Here is a 15719-nt window from a genome sequence, read left to right on the forward strand (position 1 = left end):
CTGCGCCCGGCCTATTTTCTCTTAAATAATAGTTTTATTAAGATAAAATTTGCATGCCATAAAGTTCACTCGTTAAAGTATACAATTCAGTAGTTTTTAATATATTCACAAAATTGTGCCCCATCACCACTGTCTAATTCCAAACATTTTCATTACCTCAAAAAGAAATCCTGTACCCATTTACTGTCATTTCCTATGTCTCTACCTCCAGCCCTTGGCAACCACTAATCTACTTTCTATCTCTGTGGACTTGCCTATTCTGGACTTTGATGTGAATGGGATTTTATAATATGTGCCTTTTTGTGTCTGGCTTCAGTGAAGGGTTTTAGACTGGAGAGCGGTAATATTAGTTTTGCGTTTTAGAAAGTTCAGTCTCATAGCACTGTGGTGAATAGAATAGGGAGGGCAAGACTGAGGGCAGAAGAATAAAAAAGGGGCCTCTGTTGTAGTTGTTTAAGTCATAAGTGCTGGTCTAAGGCAGAAGCCAGAAGATAGATATATCATATTGCAGAGAAGGCCGAGTTAGCAGGTCTCTGTCATAGTTGAATATGTTGGGGTGAGGAAAAATCAGAAGTATGAGTTGGCTTGGGTGGCTTGGTAGATGGGTGGATAGATCATGCTACCTATTCTCTTTTTAGCAGAAGATGGCTGAGCTGATGAGTATCAACAACACATACATTTTACAAAGATTCCTTGACTTGTCATAAGAAGTCTATATTAACCGGACCCAACGAGGATTTCTGGATAACAGATTTATCAGAATGTATTAAACACAATTAGGAGTGTTTATTCCACCTTTGGCCTTTGGAGCAATGTTTCCCAAAGTATATTCCCTAGAGTACTTGTTATTTGAGTTGTACTGTGAAAAGTTTTTTTTTTTCTTTTGTCAAATAAATTTGGGAAAGGCTATATTATATATTACCTTCCAAGAAAACATAGACATAATTAAGACCCCGAGTTCAAAGTCCTGCAGTAAAGAAATCTTTAAAAATTTATTTAATTATGGAGGAGCCTTTGCAAAATAACAATAATAATAAATTTCTCCCTTTAACTTGAAGTTTCTAAGACTTACTAAGAACAGAAATCTTTCTTTGCTGTATTCCTAGGAGTGCACTTTGGGAGACTCTGCTTTAAAGAGATGGTGTGGGGATAGGTTGCCCCTTGGTCCAGCCAAGGACAGAATCCTAGAGATGTGGACCATTGGTCAGACCTGGGCTAGGAGCCCTGTGCTAAAGAAATTGCCTACCATTGGCCGGGCGCGGTGGCTCACGCCTGTAATTCCAGCACTTTGGGAGGCCGAGACGGGCGGATCATGAGGTCAGGAGATCGAGACCATCCTGGCTAACATGGTGAAACCCCGTCTCTACTAAAAATACAAAAAATTAGCCGGGCATGGTGGCAGGCGCCTGTAGTCCCAGCTACTCCGGAGGCTGAGGCAGGAGAATGGCGTGAACCCGGGAGGCAGAGCTTGCAGTGAGCCAAGATTGCACCACTGCACTCCAGCCTGGGCGACAGAGCGAGACTCCATCTCAAAAAAAAAAAGAAATTGCCTACCATTAAAATTCAGTGTTTTTGATTTGTGGTGGGGGGGTTCCTAAACAGTTTGCCATCTCTTGGAGCAAGAGCGACAACAACACAACCAGTTAAAACATACGTGGCAGAAGGCCAATGACCAGTTTCTGGAATCTCAGCGTTTACTGATGAGAGACATGCAGCGAATGGAGATTGTGCTAACTTCAGAACAGCTCCGACAAGTTGAAGAACTGAAGAAGAAAGATCAGGTGAATAGAAGTTTTTAGGACTGATTTGCTTTGTCAGTAATGTCCCCCACCACATGTGATTGCATTACCTTATGTGTATTAGAGACTGACTTAAGCTGCAACAAGGTGATAAAGGTGATATGTGCCACTTTTAAAAACATAACAGCTACATTTGAGGGGTTTTGTTTTTCATCTTTAGAAATGGCCTCCTCTCGGGGGTGGGGAAACTGATTTGGAAATGATCTTCAGTGACTGCAGGATGCAGCAGTGCGTATTTCGGAGAAAATCTTTCTCTCCTGTGCTGACCAGTTCTCCCAGGCCAAGTCTTGAGGTCAAGCTTGTCCAACCTGCAGCTCTTGGCTTTGAATGCGGCCCAACACAAATTTGTAAACTTTCTTAAAACATTATGAGATTTTTTTTGCAATCTTTTTTGTTTGTTTTAGCTCATCAGCTATCGTTAGCGTCAGTGTATTTTGTGTGTAGCCAAGACAGTTCTTCTTCAGTGTGGCCCAGGGAAGCCAAAAGATTGGACACCTGCTCTAAGAGCTCTACTAGGTGACATGATATGAATGGAGAGGCTGAGTAATAGGAGGTGGCAGGTGTTCAGAGCACTGCATATTCAGGTTCCTGTTTTCTCCTTATCTTTTAGTTATTGAAATTGCATGAATAATATATATATTTATATACATTATCATAAATTTTTTGTTTTAAATACAGTGAAAAAATAAATATAAAGTGATCAAGTGAAAAGTCTTCCTTAACATCTCCCACACCTCCCCTTGTCAGAAGATTGTTTTACCATTTGGTAGAGAGCCTTCTAAACCAGTTCTGTGTGTTTATGATATACATTTAGGGTGTAGTTTTCCTCTTACACAACTATAGTTATACTATAAGTATGTATTCTAGGCAGGGCATGGTAGCTTATGTCTGTAATCCCAACACTTTGGGAGGCTGAGGCAGGAGGATCGCTTGAGCCCAAAAGGCCAAGACCAGCCTGGGCCATATAGTGAGACTCTGTTTCTACAATAATAATAAGAAGAATAATTAGCTGGGCATGGTGGCACGTGCCTGTAGTTCCAGCTACTTGGGAGGCTGAGGTGGGAGGATCACTTGATCCGGGAGGCGGAGGCTGCAGTGAGCTGTGATCACACCACTGCACTTCAGCTGTGGGTGACAAAGCAAGATCCTATCTCAAAAAAAAGTATATATATTTCCCATAAGCATTATCCTGGATGTATTTTCATATCGACGTTGTATTTTGTTCTTGAGTGTAGATGGATGCACCATATTGATTTACCCTTTCTCCTTGTAGCGTGTATCTAGGTGGTCCCCCTTTTCTTGTCATCTCAAATAATCTTGCAGCTAAATCCTTGACCGTATTGTGTATATGTGCAGATACTTCCCTAGGATAGCTATGTAAAAGTGTTCACTGCCTTTCTAAGTATCTTGTCAAACGTTTCAAATTGCTTTATGTGACTTAGGTTAGATTTTGTTTTGCAAAGTTTCTTCTTTTTTAAATTTCCTTTTTGTCTCTTAATTTGGACTCATTCGTCTTGTGTGTAGTCAAAGCCAACATAAGGATTTTTTTTTTTCTTTTTTTTGAGACAGGATTTCACTCCAGTCACCCAGGCTGGAGCACAGTGGCACAATCTTGGCTCACTGCAACCTCCGCCTCCCAGGCTCAAGTGATTCTTCTGTCTCAGCCGCCCAAGTAGCTGGGACTACAGGCGTGTGCCACCATGCCTGGCTAACTTTTGTATTTTTAGTAGAGACAGGGTTTCACTACGTTGCCCAGGCTGGTCTCAAACTCCTGACCTCAAGTTATCTGCCCGTCTCGGCCTCCCAAAGTGCTGGGATTACAGGCATGAGCCACCATGCCCTGCTCTAAAGTACAGATCTTATCCTGCCTTCCCTGCTGCCCATTAAAAGAGTCTAAACTTGGCCGGGCGCGGATGGTCACACCTGTAATCCCAGCACTTTGGGAGGCCGAGGTGGGTGGATCACCTCAGGTCAGGAGTTTGAGACCAGCCTGGTCAACTTGGCGGAACCCCACCTCTACTAAAAATACAAAAATTAGCCAGGTGTGGTGGCATGTGCCTGTAGTACCAGCTACTTGGGAAGCTGAGGCAGGAGAATCACTTGAACCCAGGAGGCGGAGGTTGCAGTGAGCCGAGATCACATCACTGCACTCCAGCCTGGGTGACAAAGTGAGACTCCCTCTCAAAAAACAAAAACAAAAACAAAGAGTCTAAACTTTACTAAGATGATCATTTAAAACTTTTCAACATTTATTGAGCTCTTACTATGTGCTAGCATTGTGCTAAGGCTTTATGTATAAATCTTTATGTCAAGTGGTTATCAAAAACTCTCCATAAGCAGTAGGGACTACAATTATACGGTTCCTGTGTTCTAGAATAGTAAACAGGCTGAGACGTCATGTATGGCCCATCTGAGGCTTGAACAATCTCTGATTCCAGAGTCTAAGTGCTTACTCACCACCTCTTTCTCCATGTCCTTTACTTCTCATGTGCCTGCCCATTTTTCATCCATATAACATTACACAGAACTCCTCCACAGGCCTGCTTTTCCATGTTTCTGTCTTTTGTATGTGCCTCCTTTCTCCCTGGAACCCTTAATTGTCTCTTCTCATGCAACTGGCAAACTTACCTTACTGATCTTTCAAGATTCAGCTGAAGTGTTACTCCTTTGGGCCTCCTTTGCTGGTTCCTTCAGATGAAATCAGTCATTGTTTTTCTCCTTCTTTAGAACCTTGTACATACTTGTATTGTAATTGTTTGTCTCTCCTCCCTAGGCTGTTTTACGTGACACTGAAGGTATAAGGTATCTTACTCATCTTTGTTGAGTGAATTATTCTATCAACTTTAATCATTCCTTTTGTATTCATATACATTTGTTAATGTTTCTAATGGATGTGTAACATTATAAAAACTTTTTTGGGTGGGGTGTGGTGTCTCATGCCTGTAGTCCCAACGCTTTGGGAGGCCAAGGTGGGAGGATCGCTTGAGCCTGGGAGTTTGAGACCAGCCAGGACAACAGCGTGAGACCCCATCTATGCAAAAAAACCAAAAAATTAGCCAGGCATGGTGGTGCATGCCTGTGATCCCGGCTACACGAGAGGATGAGGCAGGAGGATTGCTTGAGCCCAGGAGTTCAAGACCAGCCTGGGCAACAATGTGAAACCCCGTCTCTACAAAAAATAAAAAAATTAGGCGGGCGTGGTGGCACATGCCTATGATTCCAGCTATGTGGAGAGGATGAGGTGGGAGAATTGCTTGAACCCAGGAGGTTGAGGCTGCAGTGAACCATATTTGCACCACTGCATTCCAGCCTGAGTGTCAGAGCAAGACCTTGTCTCAAAAACAAACTTTTTCATATTTATTTTCTACAGTAATCACAAGGAATGTTCTGTGTAAATTTTTTTTTTCAAGGATCATTTGAAGAGGCGGTTTTGCTTTCTTTTATTTTGCCTTACTTTATACAGTATACTTTTCTTGGAAGCTGCTTCCTGATTTCTTCTTTATACCAGTGTTCTTAGTTTGTGCTTATAATATTAAAATATTTTGTAATGGCCAGAGGCCCTTAGATGGGATTACAAAACAAAGAAGCGTAAGTATCCAGTTTTCTCTTATCATAACGCTCTGTTCTTTATTTGTTTTGAATGGTTAAAGAACTGTGTCACTTATTAAGTAGGTTACTTGGGTCATATATATGTTTTTTTCTTCCTTTTAGGAGGATGATGAACAACAAAGACTCAATAAGAGAAAGGATCACAAAAAAGCAGATGTTGAGGAAGAAATAAAAATACCAGTAGTGTGTGCTTTAACTCAAGAAGAATCTTCAGCCCAGTTATCAAATGAAGAGGTATAGTGAGTCTATAATTAAAGTCATTAAATACACAATGTCAACAATTTTAGCTTACTCATACATCAGTTAATTACATTGTTCATATGAGAAGTGAGAAGTGCATAGCTACGAGGTGAAAGTTAGATAAAAATGACAGTATTTTCAGTTGTTTTTATGGCATTATAGGTAGCACTATTTGAAACATGTTGCAGCTTCATTCGCTGTCTGAAATAGATGTTCTTTTTTCCAGTATTTCCAAAATTTAATACATTAGAATAAACCTTTAAATAATGTCTGCAAAATCTTTTTTGATGTGAATAGTACATGTTGCTAATACTTGTCTTTTTTGTTTAAAAAGAGATTATCTAAAGCGCTGAAATGCTTAACTCCCTGTAGCATATATGAGAGTATTAACCAGTATTAGGTTTTCATCCCTGACGGCCATGGGTGAGGTTTGGCAGATAACACCACAGGGTAAAATGTTTCAGGTACTAGGAATGGGTAGAGTAGAGAGACCTGGAAGTGTTAGGTGTTCTGTGGCCTTGTCACCTCTCACCTACAGTGTGGCAAGGGCCTCCTCATTGGGTTTCCTGCCTCAACCTGTCCCATTCCACTGCGTCCTCAGCATTACTGTCAAATTCATTTTCTTAAGTGCAGCTGCAGTCAGGCCACTCCCCTACTCAAAAACTACCATTGACTCCCATTACCTATATAATTAAGCACACATTCCTCACTCTGACAATTAAGGCCCTTCATCATCTGGATTACATTTTAGCCATGTTGGTCATCATCTTGGGCTGTATTCCCACTTGGTCTGTTGGTTCCTTCATTTGGAGTACTTTCCTCCCATTGCCTTTCTGAGTATTGAAATCCTTCTACTCATCTTTCAAAGCTCATCTTGTTATCAGTGAAGGAACTGCTTCTCTTATTGCCTTTAGAATAAAAACTAAGATCCCCCAAGATCCCTAGCATGGCATACAAGGGCATTCACAGTTGAATGGCCCTTCCAGCCTCACTTACTGCTCTCCACCTCTCTGTAGCCAGACCTGTGCACTTACTGTTCATGCTCATGTGGCCTGTCCCTGCGGCTTAGAATCACACTCACTTCCCTGCGGCACCTCCTTTCCTGGCCTGGTGAATGAATTGCACTTAAATTGGATACAGGTCTTGTCTTTACTTTCAGGGGTATCATGTTTCTATTTACTTTGCAGATTTACTTTGAGCCATACATAATCTACATCCTGGTGGTTATATATATGCCCATGCTTACAGATTGTTTGATGTTTAAGAAAAACTTAAAAAAAATTTTAGTAGACACTAAAAAGTGCTGTATATTGAAGTTGTTTTGTTCATTCTTTGTTCTGGGACATAGACTGGGAACCACTTGGTCTAATTCTGCTGTGCATTTTAAAAATATTTAGACTCCCAAGAGAATGTCTCAAGTTTTGGGTACAGCCAATGATTACATAGTGTTTTCATCATGCAGTAATCTATCCAGGAATGTTTGAAAAGTGGGAAAACAGGAAAGGGACATTTGTTGTGATTTACAGAGAAGTATTTTTATTTTTGATTCTCTCTTAACAGATCCGTAGACTTTCAGAGCTGGTGTTTTGCAGTTTGAATGTTGAATATAATTGTTTTGTATTGAGAATAATGACACAACTCTTGGTTTAGAGTTAATCTGAAGCCTAGCTAACATGGTGTGAAACCCTATCTCTACTAAAAATACACAAATTAGCTGGGCGAGGTGGTGGATCCCTGTAATCCCAGCTACTCAGGTGACTGAGGCATGAGAATTGTTTGAACCCGGGAGGTGGAGGTTGCAATGAGCTGAGATTTTGCTACTGCACTCCAGCCTGGATGACAGTGAGATCCTGTCTCACACACACAAAAGTTAATCTGAGATGCTTTGGAGAGTTGGATTTATGGCTAAAGATATTTGAAATTTGTAGACCTCACATTTTCTTTAACCTGATGCTTATAATATGCTTTTCTCTCTACAAAATGTTCATTATGGAAAATTTGGGAAGTATAGAAAACACCATTCAAAATAAAAATAACTGATAGATCATCCTACCCAGAGGTAACAACTAATATTTTGGTATGTATCTCTTTCTTCCTTTCCTTATTTTCTTTTCCAGAGATAATATATATGTTAACATATGTTAACATATTTCTTTTTTTTTTTTTTTTAATTTGAGACAGGGTCTCACTCTCACCCAGGCTGGAGTGCAGTGGTGCAATCTTGGCTCACTGCAGCCTTGACCTCCCGGGCTCAAGCGGTCCTTCTGCCTCATCCTCCTGAGTAGCTGAGACTACAGGCATCCGCCATCGTGCCCAGCTAATTTTTTGTAGAGACGGTGTTTCAACATGTTGCCCCGGCTGGAACACATGTGTTTCTATTTGCACTTTTTTTTTTAAATTTGAGACAGGGTCTCACTTTCACCCAGGCTGGAGTGCAGTGGCGTGATCTCAGCTCATTGCAACCTCTGCCTCCCAGGTTCAAGCGATTCTCCTGCCTCAGCCTCCTGAGTAGCTGGGATTACAGGCATGAGCCACCACGCCAGGCTAATTTTTGTATTTTTAGTAGAGATGGGGTTTCACCATGTTGGCCAGGCTGGTCTTGAACTCCTGATCTCGTGATCCACCCACCTCAGCCTCCCAAAGTGCTGGGATTGCAGGCTTGAGCCACCATGCCTGGCTCTATTTGCACTTTTAAAACATAATCTAGATTATAACTACATAGTGTTTTGTGCAAATTTTTTCCCCAACTTAAATCTACTCTAAGGTTTTGGCACATCATTAAATGTTTTTCCCTGAAATGATATTTAGTGGCTGACAGAATTTCAGCGTGTCAATGTACCATAATTCTTTTAACCAATTCCCTACTAATTGATTTGTGACTTTTTTTGTTTTTTTGAGACAGTCTTGCTGTCTCACCCTTGCTGGAGTGCTATGGCGTGATCTTGGCTCACTGCAGCCTCCACCTCTTGGGTTCAAGCGATTCTCGTGCCTCAGCCTCCCGAGTAGCTGGGACTACAGGTGCACACCACCACGCCCAGCTATTTTTGTATTTTTAGTACAGACAAGTCTTCACTATGTTGGCTAGGCTGGTCTCGAACTCCTGGCCTCAAGTGATTTGCCCACCTCGGCCTCCCAAAGTGCTGGGATTACAGGTGTGAGCCACCGTTTCCAGCTTCTGCCTGGTTTTTAATTCATAATGGTGACTGAGTGATGACATAGGGAGTTCAATGCCCCTGAAAAAAGTTTTGTGTTACTCACAGTTCTCCTGGAAGCAGAGGTACAGCACACCTTGCATGGCCACAGCAGGGAAGCACCAGAGGTGGTCAGGAGGCAGGAGCAGGAGCGAGAGAAAAGCATGGGCCATAGCTATTATTGTGGTTTCTTTGGGAAAAGCAAAGTGGAGCAGAGCAGAGGGTTTAGGACTGGCTGGTAATTAATTCCAGCAGCCTTTGGGGTATAGGGTCTGTTCTTAGCTGTCTGGAACTGGCCCTGGGTTCATTTAGGGCAGGGGAAATACTGGCTCGGTGTGTGACTTAGGTAAGGGAGGTGGTTGGGATATGGGTTTGGGATTGAATGGTTTGTGTGTGAAAGGCATGTTTACAGTTAGGTGAGTTGTTTATTATCTCTAGAAATTAGCTAGTCCTGGGAAGCAGTTTCTTCACAGCCAGCAAGGCCTCCAGTAAATCAAAACATTATGAAATACAGAAAATGAAAAGCGTGATTAACACACTGATAGTCAAGTTGGTTCCATTTTTTACTACTATACAATTTTTCGTTATAAGTAATGTCATAATGTTATATATAATTTTTCCTTGTACAAAAATCATTATGGATGCATCTGATTTTATTTTATTTTATTTTTTAGTGTGAGTTCTTAGGAAAAGAACTGCCTGGCCGGGCATGGTGGCTCACAAGTGTAATCGCAGCACTTTTGGAGGCTGAGACAGGCGGATCATTCGAGGCCAGGAGTTTGAGACCAGCCTGGCCAACATGGCGGAACTCATCCCTACTAAAAATACAAAAATTAGTCGTGCATGGTGTCTGGCGCCTGTCGTCCCAGCTACTCACTGTGGCTGAGGCATGAGAATCCCTCGAGCTCAGGAGACGGAGGCTGCAATGGGCTGAGAATGCGCCACTGCACTCCAGCCTGAGTGACAGAGCGAGACTGTCTCCAGGAAAAAAAAAAAAAGAACTGCTGAATTCAAGGATGTAAACATTTTTAAGATATTATTGCCAATGTAGTAGTCTGATGTGGGGTCTTTTGTTTTGTGTTTTTTGAGACAGGGTCTCGTTCTTGCCACCCAGGCTGGCTAGAGTACAGTGGCACCATCACAGCTCACTACAGCCCCGATCTCCTGGGCTCAAGCAATCCTCCTGCCTCAGCCTCCTGAGTAGCTGAGACTACAGGCGTGTGGTACCATGCCTGGCTAATTTTTAAATTTTTTTGTAGAAAGGAGTTCTCTCTATGTTGCCCAGGCTGGTCTTGTACTCCTGGGCTCAACCTATCCTCCCACCTCAGCCTCCCAAAGTGTTGGATTTACAGGCGTGAGCTACTGCGCCAGGCCTGTAGTCTGATGTTTTCTTTTTTTTTTTTTGAGACGGAGTCTCGCTCTGTTGCCCAGGCTGGAGTGCAGTGGTGTGATCTCGGCTCACTGCAAGCTCCGCCTCCCGGGTTCACGCCATTCTCCTTCCTCAGCCTCCCAAGTAGCTGGGACTACAGGCACCTGCCACCACGCCTGGCTAATTTTTTGTAATTTTTAATAGAGACGGGGTTTCACCATGCTAGCCAGAATGGTCTTGATCTCCTGACCTTGTGATCTGCCCGCCTCGGCCTCCCAAAGTGCTGGGATTACGGGTGTGAGCCACTGCGCCCAGCCAGTCTGATGTTTTTCAAATGGCCCTCACAACTGTTCTATCCCTAGCCCCTTCCCTCTTCAGTATCACAGCAGCACTGTATATGATACATAGCAGTGGGTGTTAGGGTTATTTGTAAACTAACAGAATGGCTTATCCCAGTTTTTATTAGGATACTTACTTGGGATCTTTGCCATAGTAAGCTTAATATATACGAGATTTGTGTTCTTAGCCATTGCAGTTTCAGATGAGTAACAATCTTTAAAAGGAAAGAAATGGAGGCATTAACTCAAAATTTGTCACCTTTTTATTACACCAAGAATATTTTTAAAACATTAAAAAAAATAGGTTACATGAGCTTGCCAGTAACAACAACTGTATTCCACAGTCTCCTCTGGTTCATTTAAAACAGGGCGTTTAACAACAAAACGTAGAAAGGATATTATCTTAAAACATTGTCATTTAAATGGAATAAATTTAGTTGGAAGGAAAACTTGTTACATTTTTCTTTAAATCATTTTTCTTATTTCCCACTAACTATGCAACTGCTTCATGTAATGGCACTGGTTTGCTTTTTGCCTTCAGGAATGTGCTGTACCACGTTGTTTAAAAATTGAGATAAAATTCATGTAACATAAAATTTAAAGTGTACAATTCAGTGGCATTGCATATATACACAAATGTTTTTAGTTTGAAAACATTTTTATCACTCCCAAAGGAGACCTCATAACCCATTAGAGTCACTCGCCATTTTCCCTTTGCCCTAGCCTCTAGTAACCACTAACTTGCTTTATGGCTCTATGGATTTACTTGTTCTGGACATTTTAAATAGATGGAATTACATAATATGTGACTTTTTGCATCTGCTTTCGCATAGTATACAACATTGAACATGTTGATTACACCTTGCTGGAAAATACCACATTCTTGGGCCGGGTGCGGTGGCTCACGCCTGTAATCCCAGCACTTTGGGAGGCTGAGGTCGGGGGATCACGAGGTCAGGAGAGCGAGACCATCCTGGCCAACATGGTGAAACCCCATCTCTACTAAAAATAGAAAACATTAGCCGGGCGAGGTGGCGGGCACCTGTAGTCCCAGCTACTTGGGAGGCTGAGGCAGGAGAATGGCGTGAGCCCGGGAGGCGGAGCTTGCAGTGAGCGGAGATCGCGCCACTGCACTCCAGCCTGGGCGACAGAGCGAGACTCCGTCTCAGAAAAAAAGAAAATACTACGTTCTCGTCATTTCCTTTCCACTACTCTGGCTTCTCCTTTGCTCATCCCCAAGATGTTAATCTTTCTCAGGGTTCTGCCCTTGGCCCTCTTTGCCTACACACTCATCCTACGTGTTCTGATTTGCTGCTGTGACTTTAATTATCATTATACGATAGTTACTCTCAAGTCTCTATCGAAAGACTTCTGTGTCCCTCTGTCAAGGGAATATCTCTGCTTGGATTCATGATAGGCACCTCGCGCTTGACACACGCCACACTGAATTGCAGGTGACGTTCCTCAACTGTTCGTATTTGGGAGCTCTTTGAGCTACCAGAGCATTCAGCACATAGCTCCAGCCCATCCTTTTATCACAGTATTATAACAGTCTGCTTACTTATCTTTTTTTTTTTTGAAGCCGTATGTATCTCGAGGTCAGGGATTATATCTTGCTCACAGTTGTATCCTGAGGGCCTGGTTTTGTGTCCAGCATGTAGAAATGACACTTAGTGTTTGTTCAATGAGTCTGTGAAGGTAGCACATTAATGATTATCATGTGTAATGAGTGGCGGAATACATTTATTATAGTTTTTGTCTTTAAAAACGCAGAGAATTGTCTAACTTGGCCATATGTATTTTCACATTTCAGGAGCATTTAGACAGCACCCGTGGCTCAGTTCATTCCTTAGATGCAGGCTTGCTGTTGCCATCTGGAGATCCTTTCAGTAAATCGGACAATGACATGTTTAAAGATGGACTCAGGAGAGCACAGTCTACAGACAGCTTGGGAACCTCGGGCTCATTGCAATCCAAAGCTTTAGGCTATAACTACAAAGCAAAATCTGCTGGAAACCTGGACGAGTCAGATTTTGGACCACTGGTAGGAGCAGATTCAGTGTCTGAGAACTTTGATACTGCATCCCTTGGGTCACTCCAGATGCCAAGTGGGTTTATGTTAACCAAAGATCAGGAAAGAGCAATCAAGGCGATGACACCAGAACAAGAAGAGACAGCGTCCCTCCTCTCCAGCGTTACCCAGGGCATGGAGAGTGCCTATGTGTCCCCTAGTGGTTATCGTTTAGTTAGTGAAACAGAATGGAATCTCTTGCAGAAAGAGGTGAGTTACCTTTCTCACGTTTTTCCTCTTGCTCACGCTGAGGCACACTGGGAAGCTCTGGGATTTAGCGTTCATTCAACAGACGGTTCCTGGAGTCAGTGCAGGCACATGTTGCCAGCAAGTGGATATTAACGTGTGTCACCTGACCCTTGTCATAGTCTGCCTTGGGTATTCCAGGTAATTGTGACAGAGAAAGGAGCTAGCTAGTTAATCACAGTGAATGTGAACCTCCCCACCTGAACTCACAGCTCTCAGGTTGGAGCAATCTGCCTGACTAGCATTGCGGAATTTAAGTTAGAGCAACCTGGATTTGGTTTGCTTTGCAGTTTTCTATAATCTCAGTGTATTGCAGGATCCAGGCTTTCATCTTTCCTTTAGATCAAAAGCGCAATTGCCGGTCTGCTGTTGATGCTGAGAGTGGGTTTAAAGAGGGGTTGGGAATATGGGAGAGAAAAGAAACCAATCTTTAATGAAGTTGATTTTCCTCCTTAGAGAATTTGTAAATTCACAGGTAAGATTAGGAGATAAACACTTCGATATTTGCCTAATGCTTTATAGATTACAAAGGCCTTTCACATACCTGATCTCTTTAAGCTTTATCATTATAATGAGGCAAGTGGGGCATGGTTATCTCCCATTTACAGGTGAGAAAACTGGCTGGGAAAGATAAAGTGAGTTGCTCAAGTGTTCCCTTTGACTTAGTCGCAAAACCTGACTCCTGGTGCTTTCCTTGACTGAGGGCTGCTTCCCTTTAAGGAAGCCACCGGTCAGTAAGTGGAACAGCTTACTGAGGCCTGAAAGAAACTATTCTCATTGGTCTTATGTAACACATACGTGAGAAGGTGCTATTTACTAGTTTGGTACCTATTTTATAATTGGAGCTGGTGAAACGGTGACTTGGCACTGTTTTTATTTGTCTTTCCTTCCCTTTGGTTGTTTAGTATTATACCATGAGTGCCATGGGATAGTACCTTTTGCTTGCTTTGTGTTTTCCTCACATGTGATGTTTTGTGCCTCTTGGCGATAAATTGTGTCCCATGTGTCCTATCATACTTGTACTGGAGAGTTTGATTTTTTAGAATCTGACCCTATATTGTAACTTTTTGCCGTAAGGCCCTGAAGAAAGTGTTTACTGCATGTTCTACTGACTACCATTGGTAAGACTATGCACGTGTACCTCAAGTGTGTGATGTAGAATTGTTTTGCCTGATAAGAGGTAATTTTGGTGCCCTTCAGGTACATAATGCTGGAAATAAACTTGGTAGACGTTGTGATATGTGTTCCAATTACGAAAAACAGTTACAAGGAATTCAGATTCAGGAGGCTGAAACGAGAGACCAGGTGAGTTTCTTCTGGATGCGCCAAATTGGATATTGTCGTTTTCATTGGAGGTGCAGAATTAATTGCCCCCCTCTCCGGCCCCAGCCCCATTTACATTATGAAGCATATCCATCTTGTTAAGTTATGAAATAACCTGGTACATGCAATGGCAGTTACATTTCCAGTGGGAGCTCACTAGGACTCTGCTTTTTTTTTTTTTGTTTTTGTTTTTGTTTGTTTTTTTTGAGAGGGGGTCTCGCTCTATTGCCAGGCTGGAGTGCAGGGGGGATCTCAGCTCACTGCAACTTCCGACCCCCTGGTTCAAGTGATTCTTCTCCCTCAGCCTGCCGAGTAGCTGGGATTACAGGGACACGCCACCACCCCCAGCTATTTTTTGTATTTTTAGTAGAGATGGGGTTTCACCATGTTGCCTAGGATGGTCTCAAACTCCTGACTTCATGATCCACCTGCCTCAGCCTCCCAAAGTGTTGGGATTACAGGTGTGAGCCACCGCGCTCGGCCAGGACTCTGTTTTTGTATATCTGCACAGGTCTGCCCAACTCTTAAAGGGACACTACCTAATCTCTTCCACCCTGCCCCTTCCGCCTAAGGCCTAAAAGTGATTTTAAGTACATGGCAAGTACTTTATGATATGGAGATCTCAGGGAGATAAAAGGTTGATTGTTGCCTCCAGTAGAATAAAGGCTTAATGGAATGTTATATTAATCAGAATTTGTGTCCTTCAGTGCATATTACTCATTTCTTGTCATAAATTTGTTGAATTAAGGTTAATAAGTTCCCAGAAATTAAGCTTTGGTAGATTTGGTATGCTGAGATTGATAAATCTTCAGTACTTTTTCAAGTGCAGTGTTTAATAATGGGCACCTTGATAGCAGTTAGGAAATAATGTAGAAATTCATGAGAGTGGGCTTGTCAAAGTCTACGTAAGAAAGATACTTTTCCCTCATATTTCCAAATTGTTCTTTGGTTGTTATGAAGATTGTTCCCTTAGCCTTCAAAATAACTTCAAGCCAATTAGAATGATGGTTTAATATTTTCAAATGTCATTGCTATTGAGTTCCTTCATACACTGTGTGCTTTACGCATAGATGTTTCAAAGGTAAATTTCTAAATGTATTTGCAAAACTAATGTAGTTGGCCCCTGATAGTGTGGTGTAGGAATGGTTTTCATAAACATTTCAGTAGACTGTTTTAAAGCCTGGCTAAAAATTAGTCAGAAAAAGAAGTGGGAAAAGGGTGTTCATGGAGAGAAAAAATATACAAAGAACAGAGTTAGGAAAGAAAATGATGTATTGTAGGAAGTATGAGTAGTTATGTGGCTGGGCACAGGGGGTGACTGTTACGAAATAATGGGAATGTAAGCTACAAGGGAAAGCCATGAAGACATCACTTAGGGAGGGGTGATGATTGAAGAGATTTAAATTTTACCCTGAAGCCGGGCATGGTGGCTCACGCCTATAATCCCAGCACTTTGGGAGGCCGAGGCGGGCCGATCACCTGAGGTTAGGAGTTCATAGACCAGCCTGACTAACATGGAGAAACCCCACCTCT

General features: G+C 42.3%; 1 protein-coding gene and 1 long non-coding RNA gene across 9 annotated transcripts in view, besides 1 other annotated feature; one reads left to right on the forward strand and one right to left on the reverse strand.

The window, feature by feature from the left end:
• Nucleotides 1-15719, forward strand: part of RABEP1 (rabaptin, RAB GTPase binding effector protein 1) — a 104057-nt gene that overhangs the window by 66565 nt on the left and 21773 nt on the right. For 3 of the 8 annotated variants that reach the window (XM_047437039.1, XM_047437038.1, XM_011524060.3), the window contains 5 exons: nt 1603-1781; nt 5511-5642; nt 7660-7725; nt 12360-12827; nt 14064-14168. In XM_047437039.1, coding sequence (XP_047292995.1) covers nt 1603-1781; nt 5511-5642; nt 7660-7725; nt 12360-12827; nt 14064-14168 — 950 coding nt within the window. The remainder of the gene's footprint in view (nt 1-1602; nt 1782-5510; nt 5643-7659; nt 7726-12359; nt 12828-14063; nt 14169-15719) is intronic. The other 5 variants (NM_004703.6, NM_001083585.3, NM_001291581.2 and 2 more) reach the window with 3 other exon arrangements.
• Nucleotides 11759-14064, reverse strand: LOC105371505 (uncharacterized). The gene is made up of 2 exons (XR_934178.3): nt 12837-14064; nt 11759-12236 (listed from the first exon to the last, which is right to left on the reverse strand). It is a non-coding gene; the product is annotated as an uncharacterized LOC105371505 (long non-coding RNA).
• Nucleotides 13034-13729: an enhancer, noted in NCBI's record as "OCT4-NANOG hESC enhancer chr17:5265177-5265872 (GRCh37/hg19 assembly coordinates)". NCBI's record gives its function as "activates a minimal SCP1, AML or CMV promoter by ChIP-STARR-seq in naive H9 embryonic stem cells {active_cell/tissue: H9 hESC(naive)}" and the evidence as "EXISTENCE:reporter gene assay evidence [ECO:0000049][PMID:30033119]".

This window comes from Homo sapiens, chromosome 17, assembly GCF_000001405.40.
Source record: "Homo sapiens chromosome 17, GRCh38.p14 Primary Assembly".
Lineage (NCBI taxonomy): Eukaryota > Metazoa > Chordata > Mammalia > Primates > Hominidae > Homo > Homo sapiens.